This window comes from Homo sapiens, chromosome X (assembly GCF_000001405.40).
Source record: "Homo sapiens chromosome X, GRCh38.p14 Primary Assembly".
NCBI lineage: Eukaryota > Metazoa > Chordata > Mammalia > Primates > Hominidae > Homo > Homo sapiens.
The window spans coordinates 104,117,926-104,131,359 of record NC_000023.11 but is presented as its reverse complement, the minus strand read 5'-3'; the positions used below and the strand labels follow the sequence as shown (position 1 = coordinate 104,131,359).

At 39.0% G+C, this 13,434-nt stretch overlaps 1 protein-coding gene and 1 long non-coding RNA gene across 2 annotated transcripts in view; both read left to right on the top strand.

Moving 5' to 3' along the window:
- SLC25A53 (solute carrier family 25 member 53) overlaps positions 1 to 13,434 on the top strand; it is a 57,796-nt gene that overhangs the window by 25,650 nt on the left and 18,712 nt on the right. The gene's annotated exons all lie outside the window — the stretch shown is intronic.
- LOC286437 (uncharacterized) lies at positions 6,728 to 9,055 on the top strand. Its single transcript, NR_039980.1, has one exon. It is a non-coding gene; the product is annotated as an uncharacterized LOC286437 (long non-coding RNA).

Below are 13,434 nucleotides of genomic sequence, written 5' to 3'. Positions count from 1 at the left end.
GTCCCCCTACTGCTCAATCTGGTGGGCCCTGTACAAAAGTTTAACTGAAAGAATGCAGGGAATTAATGCTGCTTGACTTCCAAGGATAGGTTGTAAGAATCCTGTAACTTTTGCCTTGGTCTTTTGGATCCCTCAGGAACCATGTAAGAAGTCTGACTGCCCTGCTGGAGAAATCAAATGGAGAGGTCAAGAGACAACATGGAGAGAGAACGCACAGCCCAGCTGAGCCCAGCTTTCCAGTTATCCCCACCAATGCGCCACACATATGACGGAAGTCATTTTGGTCCCTCCAAAACAACCTAGCCAGCCAGCTGGATACCACTGAGTGACCTCAGTAGATGCCACGTGGGACAGGAGAATTCTCTAGTGAGCTTTGCCCACATTCCTTACCCACACAGTCATGAGTATAATTAAATGATTATTGTTTTAAGCCCCAAGTTTTGGGGTGGTTTATTACACAGCAGTATATAACTGGAACATTGGGCACTGAAGTAGTGGAAACCATACATGCACGTTATATTTCCGTTAAACTTGGAAAGGGAAAGATCTGATGGAGTGGGAGGATCACATAAGATCAAGGGAGAATTTTTATGAAGATGACAGAGACTTGGGAGTGTGCATATGCTGATGGGGAAGAGTTAGGAGAAAGAGAATGTTGAAGATAGGGGAGAGAGGAGATGGCTGATGCATGAGGTTTATGAGAAGGTAAGGGAAGGGATGAGATGCAAAATTCTGCTGGACAGACTGATCTTGCTTACAAGGATAGTGGGATGCTTCGCCTTGTAAAACAGGAAGTGTCTGCCCACCTCCTGTTCTTTAAAAATGTCAAGCATATCCATGTACTAGAGTCGAGAGAATATATGAAGGTTAGTTGGACAGTACTGGATCTCCTAAGAATTGTTTGACTGAAGCCCTTTCTCTGGATTGCTGACTCAACCCAGGCTGGAGTTAAGTGATTGGAATCCACACCCTCGGACCAGAATCCAAGTTACCTTCTGCTAAAGCCATACATACACATTAAAACCACACTTCCACAGAGTCAGCTTGTCTGGGCTCAATGGGCTCTCAAAATAATACAGGGTTCCATTACCTCTGACCCAGAGGTTCTCTCCAAGAGAAAGAGCTGTTGATGTTACAATTCTGCCTGTCACTGTCCCTGTTATAGCAGGGAGTGCGTACTGGATTAGTACTCCCCAGAAGGATGTATGGTCAGTTGGATTGGTGGTGGATGGCAGTTTGTACCAAAACGTCACTTGAACTTCACCTTTGACAGCTGCAGACTTCCGCGTGCTGATAAGGAATTAAAGAAAGTGGAAATGCAATGCAGTCCAAGATAAACTACTTTACAAAACTTTGTCTTATGGAAAATCACAAACATACACAAAGTTAGACTAGTAAAATGAATCCCCATATACTTATCATCCAGCTTCAACAATTACAGTGTCTGCTCATCATTTGAATGGCACACACACACACACACACACACACACACACACACATACATTTGTGTGGATATATATGTGTTTGTAGTTTTATATATATAAATAAAACTACATATATATTTATATATATAGTTGATTCTTATATATATAAATGTAGTTATATATATATACATATATAAAAAGTTTATTATTATTATTCACAGATTTCATATTTGCAAGTTCACTTACTTCAGACTTATCTATAACCCCAAATCGATACTTGCAGTGCTTTCAATAGTCATTCATAGACCTGCACAGAGTGGCAAAACAATTTAGTTGTCAGGCACTCAGTGTTCCCAGCTGAGGTTAGAAAAGGCAATGTTCTTGTTTCTGCTCTCATACTGTAAGCAAGTGTTCTTTTCGTAGTCGATCTAGTGCCATATTTTTGTGGCTTTTTTGGTGATTTTGCTGTTTAAAATGTCCCCCAATCATAGTGCTGAAGTACTGCCTAGTGTTTCTAAGAGCCAGAAGGCAGTGATGTGCCCTGTAGAGGAAAATACATGTGTTAGATAGGCTTCCATCAGGCATGAGTTATAACGCTGTCTGCTGTGAGTTCAATGTTAATAAATCAGCAACACAGTACATCCAGAAAAAGGAATAGGAAAGGCTTGCCAGTCTATATGTGAAGACGCTCTGTATGGTGCTAAAATAACATCTTTAGTGTGTGATGAAGGTATGGAATAAATGGAAAAGCAGCAAAATTTGTGGATTCATAACTACTGATTAGAAAAAGCATAGTGGACAGCATGGTTGTGAGGCTTTTGAAAACCAAAGAAATTTATGGTTATGTTAACCCAGGATCAGGAAAATGTTAAACCCTTCTTGGCTAATGTTTTACTATAAAATACTGCATATAATTTATTATTTTAAGAAATATATATTAAAGAAGGTGTCTTTAGACAGAAGCATACATAAAACAAGGTTGTGTATTGATCATTTTAAGGAATGCAACCAGAGGCTCCCAGGAATCTAAACCTGTATTTCCACTAGGAGCAGTGGCTTGGTATTTGGTAATTCATTGCTTGAGGTGACTTTATAGAATATAACTACCACAAATAATGAATCAACTATACATACATGGGTGTGTGTGTGTGTGTGTGTACGTGTGTGTGTCTGTGTCTGTTTATGTGTGTGTGTGTTTTGGAGTACTTTAGTGCAAATTGCTGACATCTTAACATTTTATCTGAAAATGTTTCATTATGTCTCTCTAACATATTGGTTCTTAAAGTGTAGTGTGAGGAGTCCTGGAGACACCTGAGACAGACCCTTTCAGGTGACTGGGAAATCCTTTTTCCAACTACATATCTCCATGAGGTTGGATTTGTCTTCATATACTTTATCCAAAACAGCATGTTACAACATTAAATGCAGAAGCAAATATGGGAATCTAGCTGTCTTGTACTGAGGCAGACATTTAAGAGATTTTCAGAAACGTAAAACATTCCTAAATTCTTTGTTTCTGAAAATGCAATTATTTTAATAAAATTTTATTTACGATAATCAGTGGATTTATTTTAAATACATTAATACAAATTTTAAAATTTTTCAGTTTTGATTTCTAATATAATAAATATTGATAGATCTGTAACCTACATTAGCAAAAGCTCTTTAGGGTCTAAAAGTACTAATATTTTCACCATCTGTATATAATTTTTATTTGTAAATATATTATTAAAATAACTGTCACTTTAGAAAACATAATAATGCTTTTTACAAAGAAGCACTGATACACTTCTTTTTAGCACTGTTTGTAAAACTTGTCAAAAGGAGGAGGAATTTTTAAACTACCCCAGCTGTGCACGGAAGACAGCTAACACAGGAAAAACAAGTCTAGCAAAGAAATTCGCCAAGGCTACTTTCTGCCACCCTGGAATCCCACACTAGTTTTTTTTTTGTTTGTTTTTTTGTTTTTTTTGAGACAGAGTCTAGCTCTATCACCCAGGCTGGAGTGCAGTGGCGTGATCTCAGCTCACTGCAATCTCCACCTCACCAGTTCAAGCCATTCTTGAGCCTCAGCCTCCTGAGTAGCTGGGATTACAGGCATGTGCCACCATGCCAAGCTAATTTTTGTATTTTTAGTAAAGACTCGGTTTCACCATATTGGCCAGGCTGGTCTCGAACTCCTGACCTCAAGTTATCTGCCCACCTTGGCCTCCTAAAGTGCTGGGATTACAGGCGTGAGCCACCACACCCAGCCCCACGCTAGTTATTTTTAAAAATTATTTTAAGGTAATTATAGACTCACAAGGAAGTTGCAAAAGTACAGAGTCCCATGTACCTGAAACCACGCTTCCTCTAACGGTGGCACCTTACGTTATTATAGTACAATATCAAATCCAGGAAATTATTACAAGATTGTTAACTAGAATATAGACCTAATTTCCACCATTTTACATGCATTTTTATGTGTGTGTGTTTTTCTGTGTGGTCTTATCCCATGTATAGATTTGTTTAACAACCACCACAGTCATGATATAAAACTGTTCAATAGGACCTCCCTTGTGCTTCCCCTTCATAATCATACCCACCCTGCCCCATCCTTGCTCCCTGGCAATGATTAATCTGTTCTGTATCTCTAAAATTTTCTAATTTCGAGAATGTTACATAAATAGAGTCCTATACAATGTAGTCTTTTGGGATTGACGTTCTTCACCAAATGTAATCCTTTTGAGTCATATCTGGGTTGTTGTGTGTATCAGTAATTTGTTCCAACTGAGTAGTATTCCCTTGGGTGGATAGACCAGAATTTCTTTATCCAATTACTAGTTGAAGGACATTTGGGTTGTTTCCTCGTTTTGCAATTACAGATAAAGTTGCTGTGAACATCAGCATGCAGGTTTTTGTGTGACTATAAGTTTTCATTTCTCTGGGATAAATGCCCAGGAATGCACTTGCAGGGTCATATGATAAGTACATGTTTAGTCTCATAGGAAATTGCCAGAATGATTTCCAGAGCCTTACCATTTTATATTCCTAACATCATTGTATGAGAGATCCATTTTTTCTACATCCTTGTGAACATTTGGTATTACTGTTTTTTATTTTAGCCATTCTTATAGGTGTACAATGATAGCTTAGCTTATTGTGGTTTTAATTTGCATTTCCTTAGTGACTAATGATGTTGAACATGTTTTTCATGTTCTTTGCCATCTGCGTATTCTTTTTGGTGAAATTCTATTCATGTTCATGCTCATTTTCTAATGGAATCTATTTTTTACTTTTTTTTTGGAGACAGGGTCTCACTCTGTCACCCAGATTGGAGTGCAGTGGCACAATCATGTCTCACTGAAGCTTTGATGTGGACTCAAGTAATCCTCCTGCCTCAGCCTCCTGAGTACCCAGGACCACAGATGTGCACCACCATACCTGACTAATGTTTTAATTTTTTTTAGAGATGGGGTCTCACTATGTTGCCCAGGCTTATCTCAAACCCCTGGCCTCAAGTGATGCTCTCACCTTAGCCTCCCAAAGTGCTGGGAATACAGGTGTGAGCCACTGTGCCAGGCCTTCTAATGGAATATTTATGTCTTTTTTACTGTTGAATTTTGAGAGTTTCTTTTCCTTTTCTATCTCCTCCTAACAAGTGCTTTTGCCCAGACTGGAGTGCAGTGATGTGATCGTAGCTCACTGCAGCCTCGAACTCCTGGGCTAAAACGATCCTCCCACCTCAGCCTCCCAAGTAGCTAAGACTGCAGGCATGTGCCACCATACCTGGCTAATTTTTAATTTTTTTGTATAGAGACTGGGTCTTGTAATGTTACCTAGGCTGGTCTCAAACTCCTGGCCTCAAGTGATCCTCTCGCCTCAACCTCCCAAAGTGCTGGGATTACAGGCATGAGCCACCATGCTGGGCCAGCTTGTGTGTATCTATGAAAAATCCCTCTGGGATTTTGATAGTAATTATGTTAAATCCATAGATAACTGTGGGGAAAATTGACATCTTTATTATATTGAGTTTTGCAGTCACTGAGCACTGCGTGTATCTCCATGTTTTCAGATCTTTGCTAGCTTTCTTTCATCAAGTTTTACGGAAAGGGATGGATGTACTTACGAACTCTCAGTGGCTTCATCCTGGCAGAGAACAGGAATGCTGCTTGCTCTGTGAACTCTGCAGCCTCAGTGTCCTCATTTGTGGTGACAGCTCCCTCTTAAGGTCATTGTAAAGATTTAAGGAGATGCTGAATGCCCAAGTCCTGCCTCCAGTATATGTGCTTTTCTCCTTAACTTCCCACTCATTACCTTTTGGGCCTTGAGTTTTCATCTGTGAACCCACATAGGATAATAGTGGGACTGACTTCCAAGGGGTTGTTGTGAGGAATGGGTATGAGAATTCAAGTAAAGCACCAAAGAGACTGCCAGACACAGTAGGGGTACCATAAGCAGTAGCTGTTATTACGATATGATTGTAGTGAGGTGAAACTATAATTTCTTCCTTTCACTGACAGAAAACTCTCAAGCAGCTGGTCCAAAGAGCATAAACAGCACAAGGCAAGTAGCAGGATGTTGCTGAAGGTTTGGGACAGTGGAGAGGGTTTATTTTAGCACAGCAGACAATATGAAAGAGAGTATCAGAACCACGTACCTGCTATGACCCAACTTTTATAGAAAAAGAACAAGAATAGATATGTTTGTGTTTGTGTAAAAGCCGAAGAACACACCCCAGACCAGACTGTGGGAAGCTGGGGAACTTTCACTTCTACTTATTCCCCTTTCTGTGTTTGAAAGTTGTTTTTTGGCCCGGCGTGGTGGCTCACACCTGTAATCCCAGCACTTTGGGAGGCTGAGGCGGGCAGATCACTTGAGGTCAGGAGTTTGAGACCAGCCTGGCCAACATGGCGAAACCCCATGTTTCTACTAAAAATACAAAAATTATCTGGGCATGGTGGTGTGTGCCTGTAATCCCAGCTACTAGGAAGGCTGAGGCAAGAGAATCGCTTGAAACCAGGAGATGGGGGTTGCAGTGAGCCAAGATCACGCCATTGCACTCCAGCCTGGGCGACAGTGAGACTTTGTCTCAAAAAAAAAAAAAAAAAAAAAAAGGAAAAAAGTTATTTCTTTTTAGTTGAGCGTGTGCTACACTAAACAATGTTACAATACATTTTTAAATTGAATGTATTTTTTTTTTGAGACAAGGTCTTGCTTTGTCGCCCAGGCTGGAGTGTAGTGGCATGATCATAGCTCACTGCAGCCTCAACTTCCTGGGCTCAAGTGACCCTCCTGCCTCAGCTCCCCAAGCAGCTAGGACTACAGGCATGTGCCACTACGCCTGGCTAATTTTTTCATTTTTATTTTTTGTAGAGATGGGGTCTTGCTGTGTTGCCCAGGTTGGTCTTGAACTCTTGGCCTCAAGCAATCCTCCTCCAGAGCCTCCCAAAGTGTTGGGATTACAGGCATGAGCCACTGTGCCTGGCCAGAAATTGTTTTGAAAGGCTAACCAGTAAAACATTAACCAATTTACAAGAGAAAAACAGCCCCATCAAAAAGTGGGCAAAAGATACGAACAGACACTTCTCAAAAGAAGACATTTATGCGGCCAAAAAACATATGAAAAAAATCTCATCATCACTGGTCATTAGAGAAATGCAAATCAAAACCACAATGAGATACCATCTCATGCCAGTTAGAATGGCAATCATTAAAAAGTCAGGAAACAACACATGCTGGCGAGGCTGTGGAGAAATAGGAACGCTTTTACACTGTTGGTGGGAGTGTAAATTAGTGCAGCCATTGTGGAAGACAGTGTGGCGATTCCTCAAGGATCTAGAATCAGAAATACCATTTGACCTAGCAATCCCATTACTGTGTATATACCCAAAGGATTATACATCATTCTGCTATAAAGACACATGCACATGTATGTTTATTGCAGCACTATTCACAATAGCAAAGACTTGGAACTGACCCAAATGCTCATCAGTGATAGACTGGATAAAGAAAATGTGGCACATATACACCATGGAATACTATAAATATATAAAAAAAGATGAGTTCATGTCCTTTGCAGGGACATGGATGAAGCTGGAAACCATTGTTATCAGCAAACTAACACAGGAACAGAAAACCAAACACCACATATTCTCACTTATAAGTGGGAATTGAACAATGAGAACACATGGACACAGGGAGGGGAACATCACACAACGGGGCCTGTTGAGGGGTAGGGGGCTAGAGGAGGGATAGCATTAGCAGAAATACCTAATGTAGATGACAGGTCGATGGATGCAGCAAACCACCATGGCACGTGTATACCTATGTAACCTGCACGTTCTGCACATGTATCCCAGAACTTAAAGTATAATTTTAAAAAAAGGGAAAAAAAGTAAAAAAAAAAAATAAACAAATCAGCAAACTACACAGAAGAATATTAGAACAATTTCTCTCAAATTTCTCTTCCATTGAGCTTCCTGCCTGACCCTAGAGCTCCCTCACCTCTTTGGCTTACCAGCTCCCATCCTTCAAAGTTTCTGAGTTATTCTGTGGGGAATTTGAGCTACTCTCTTCCTTTAGGTCCAGGCCATCTCAGCTAGGTCCAGAGAGCCTCACTCACCTCCCCAACTAAGCAAGCATCCCTGGAGGTATGTTCTTCATGCAAGGGCAGTTCCTGAGAGAATTTATTTGGTTAGCTCATAAAGGGATTATATTGTTTTCCCCTGCACATGAGAGAGAGTAGCTGAAGTCTACTGACTTTAATGAAATTCTCTGTGAAGAGTCTGGGAGGGACGGTTTAGGTAATCCATCTACAAGGGTGCTCAGAGAGTTTGGAGCGAAGCGATTGGTGTCGTTATGATGGCATTCTATGGCACAGTAGTTACAGTGCACCAGGCACTCTTTTAAAGACTTCTCAAGTGTTCATTCATTTAATTCTTACCACAACCCTGTGAGGGACTTCCTGTTATTGTCTCCGTTTTACTGGTGAGGAAGCTGAAGCAGAGAAGTTAACTACTTTGCCCAAGTTCCTTTCCTCCTTTGAGGATAAGGAGCCAAAGGTTCAGGAATGCCCAAATCACATCCCTCTTCTTGTCCAACCACCCAACCTCTCCACAGGCAACCTGATCAGCCACCTTTATACAAAGTACAGTATTCAGATTGGAATAAAAATATATCTCCTTGACTCCCTGCTCTGAGAGGTATTTCTTCTCAGACTCCCAAAAGCTGGATTGAGGAACATGGCTTAGTTGGTACAGTATAGCAAAATGTCCTGCTTGTTGAAACTGAATTTGTGATTATCTTCTTTTTCCTCAAGAAGTCATTGAGGGCTGTTGTATCCCTATAAAAGGAGAATTTAGAGTAGCCAAATAAAAGGGGGCTGAAGTAGTCTCATTACGGAAAAAGAGAGTGTGAGCAGCCTTTTAGTAATTGATTGCCTCAAGATGTGGTATTCAGCCAGGGTGAAGGGAAAGTAGTTGGGGCTGTGGATCTGGAGGTTTACAGAAGCCTTTACCCATCCTGAGACTCAGTTCTGCTGTTGGTCTTCAGAGAAGTGTCTGCACCTGCTGAGAAGAAATCACACCACTGCACTCTAGCCTGGGCAACAGAGCGAGACTCTGTCTCAAAAAAAAAACAAAAAAAAAAAACAAAAAAAAGAAATCAGACATCTAAATATGTACAAAAAACTAATAAACCTCTGGAAAAATGGACTCAGAATAAAGACATATACAAATAAAAAATATTTGGAATGCGTACTAAATGCCACTGAATTGTACACTTTAAAATGGTCAAAATGGTGAATTTTTTGTAACTTTTACCACAATGAAAATTTTGGAACAAAAAGGGGGGATAGAACTATGGGTAGAATACAGAAGAATCAGGCCAGGGATGATGGTTCACACCTGTAATCCCAGCACTTTGGGAGACTAAGGCGGGAGGATCACTTGAGGCCAGGAATTTGAGACCAGCCTGGGCAACAGAGTGCGATTGCCATCTCTACCAAATATCTATGTTCATATATATATATATATATATATATATATATATATATATATATATATATATATATATATATATCATACCATTTGATGTGATGTCTAGTAATTGCTTTAAAATACTTCATCAAAATGTGGGGGATGAGACAAATTATGCAACATATTGATAATTCTTGAAGCTGAATGATGAGTACATGGGGATTCATCATTCATTTTCTATAATTTCATGTGGGTTTGGAAAGTTCCATTGAAAATGTTAAAAACAACCCGCTCCTCCTGCCAAATCATTTGAAAACTTAATTTGGGGAGTTTCTTAGAGCTGAGTTGACCTTTAAATATTATTAAGTATTAAAGTCTCTAGTAGCTCAGAGTTAAAGGGTATTCCCAGCAAGTTTAAGAGATGAGGAAGGGCCCTGAATGTGAGCCAGAGCTACTAAAGTAGGATGTGCCACAGGCCACCTCTCTTTCTGCTCTGGTTCCTGTGAAACATAGTGCTTGTTCCAGTAACGTCACCTCTAGGAATGTATCCTCAGGAAATAATCGTTCACATGTGCAAACCTGTATGTGAATAAGGATGCTTTTCTCAGTGGGTTTATAACAGTGAAACAAGGAAACAAGGTAATGAATGGCTCTAAAGAGGCTGGTTTAATAAATCATGGATACAAGTAAATAATTGGATTTAATGCAGTTATGAAAAATAATCTAAACACCTTGGACCTCAGTTGCCTGGTTTTTAAATGAAGAAAGCCAAAGAAGAATTGTATTCCTCAACTAGTTTTAGGAGGCCAGCAAACCTTTGATACCAAAATCTCACAAAGACATTATACAGAAAGGAAAATTACAGGTGAATCTCTCTTACAGACATAGATCTAAAAATCCTAAACAAAATATTAGCAAATTGAATCCAGCAATATATAACAATTGTAATAAATCAGGACCAAATCTTGTTTATTTCAGGAATGCCTGGTTGGTTTATTATTAGAAACCCAAATAATGTAATTTAGCATTTTAACTAATAAATGAGAAAAAAGCATATATAATAGATACAGAAAAAGCATTTCATAAAATTCAGCATCCATTGATTATTTTAAAAACTTATGGTAAATTAGGAATGGAAGGAAACATTTTTAAACTGATAAGTGGTATTTACTAAAAACCTGCAGCAAGCATCCACTTAATGTTGAATTGCTCAAAGTGGTCCCTTGAGTTCAGGAATAGGACAAGAATGTCTCTTCTCACTAGTTGTACTCTAGGTCCCAGTCGATGCAGTAAGGTAAGAAAAAGAAATGTATATGGATTGGGAAAGAAGAAATAAAACTACCATCATTCACAGATGACATGCTTGTGTATGCAGAAAATTCTAAGGAAGCTACAGATTAAAATTATTAAGAGATTAGCAAAGTCAGTGTACAATATCAACATCAAAAGACCAGTTATATTTCTATATACCATCAACAAGCCCTTAGAAAATGAAATTTAAACCAATATTTAATTTATAGTAGTATACACAATTACCTTGAACTAAATGTAATAATAGACGTACAAAACCTCAAGCAAAAGTTATGAAGCTTTGTTGACAATGTCAAGTGTTTGTGAGGATGTGGAGCAACAGGAACTCTCAAACATTGATGGTGGAAGTGGGAATTGGTACAACTTTGATATACAGTTTGGTGGTATCTAGTGAAGTTGAAAATATACACAATCTATGAGCCAGCAATTCCTCTCCTACATATATACCTTGTGTGTGCACATATGTACCAGGAGACATTAAAAACATGTTCTTAGCAACATTTTTCATAATTGTCCCCAACTGGAAACAGTCCAAATGTCCACCGACAGTAAAAGGATAATTTCTTGTAAAGTCGTAGAATGGAAAGCTGTAACACAATACTGAGAATGATGAACCGATGCCGCATGCAACCAGGTTGAATCTCAGAAGCATAATTGTAAGGGCAATGAGCTGGATATAGAAGGATATATGCATTATAGTTCTATTTACATAAAGCTCCAGAAACAGTAGTGTTTGGGCATCTATATTTGAGTGGTAAAGCTATAAAGGAAAGTAAGAAAGCAACAGCTAAAACTGTCATGAGAGTGTTTTGTTTTGTTTTGGAGAGAGGAAAGAGGTTGTGATTGGGCAAGGACTTATGGGAATTTCTGGAGTTCTGATCTGTTCTGTTTCTTGATCTTTATGGTGATTTGCTTTATAATAATTTGTTAAGCTGTAAATTTATATTTTATGCACTTTCCTCTGCTCCCCCCGCCCCCCGCTTAAAGAGTGTTTTAGAATGTGGAAATTTTAAGATAAGATCTATCTCAGGGCTTGTTGTAAGAATGAAATGAAGTATAAAGCCATGTAGAGCTTGTAGAATATGCCTGGCACTTTGTAAGACCTTAATAAATGTTAACTATCTAAACACAATACAGATTTGCTGTTATTATTGCTTCTCTTATTTGTTGCCAGCCCTGCCCCCTTTCCATGATATTTGTTGCCAATGTTTCTCAGCTTACTGTTGGTATTTTATTTCTGTTAATGCTGTCTTCTGAGTTATCAGTCTTTTCTTTTATACTTTCTTTCATTACTCTTAACCATAGAAAGTTCTCTCCAACCCAGAGGTTTAACATGTATTGTGTTGCAGCTTTAAAAGGGGTTGCTTTTGAACATTTGATTCTTTTTATTCATTTTATAACAAAATATACGATTAAAGAAGAATTAATACATAATTGCATAAAATCTACATTTACTGCTCAAATGTATCTGGGATTCATATTTAGTGTCATGGGAGAAAGGAAACTGACCTTTTTTCCAATCAGGTAATGAAGTTCCCCCCAGCACCATGAATTGAACAATTTATCTCTCCTCCACTCATTGTTGCAGCTGTCTCCTCTTGCATACATCAAATTCAAAACCATTTGCACCAAAAGCATAGACTGGAAACTTGATACCTGAACTGAATGTGATAATGCAACTCTGAAGGGGGAGGGGATGGTTGCCAGGCAGCAGGAAGGATAGCTGCAACAAGAGGATGTGAAAGAAAGGTGGCCTGTGTCACACAAGTATTCCTTAAAGGCTGCATCCTTGTGTATGGCGCACAAGCCACTTGCTGCTATGATATTTGGCTAATTATGTCTGTTGACCTTGCTTTCCTCATGTATCATCTTTATATAATAGTAACACCTACCTCATGGGGTGCTGTGCACATGATGGCTAACTCAAGTAAGGAACACAGACTTTGGGATCAGTCAGTCCAGTGTCTTATCCTTGACTGTACCACTAAATAATTACATGACCCTAAGTACGTTTCCTAACTTCCCAGCCTGTTTCATCATCTGAAATATGTGTCAATTAATAGTAATTAAATTAATAGCAAGTTAGAAATAGAAAGTCATGCTTATCTTAAGGGAGTTGCTATGAAAAGCTAATAATGCATTTTAAAGGCTTGGCACTGGGTGCCTGGCATGTAATAAGCTTGGAATAAATCGCACTTGCAGTGATTTTAATTTTTATTGCTATTGTGGAAGGATCAGGAAGGGAAAGAATATTCGGCAAAAGACACTGAGAAGTAGGCATCAAAAAGATCTGGGAGAGGGAAACCATGAGATGGATGTCATGGAAACAAGGGAAAATAGTATCAAGAAGGAGGGAGATATTGCAAAAGGAGGTCATTCAAAGGCTGGTTTCTCCTGACAAGACAAAAGAGCAATTTTCATCTCTTGGCGACTAATGAGAATGAAGGGAGAAAGGAAAGGAAAAACAATAATTATAAATGAAGGGTATCAAACACAAAATTTTTTAAAAGCCTTCTTTCACTTAACCCTGTAATCACTCCAAGTCTTCTTTGTCTTCCAATTAGGGAAAATACATACTTCTTGAATAAAGGAAAGCCAGTGTGACACAAAATGAAATAAAAAGTCTCACTTTTGCATCATTTTGGTGAAGTAAAAATTTAGACAGTTTCAGGTTTACACAACAGAGGACAGGATGGGGGGGAAGGAAAGGGGATGAATTACACAGCAGGGTTTCAAAGTAA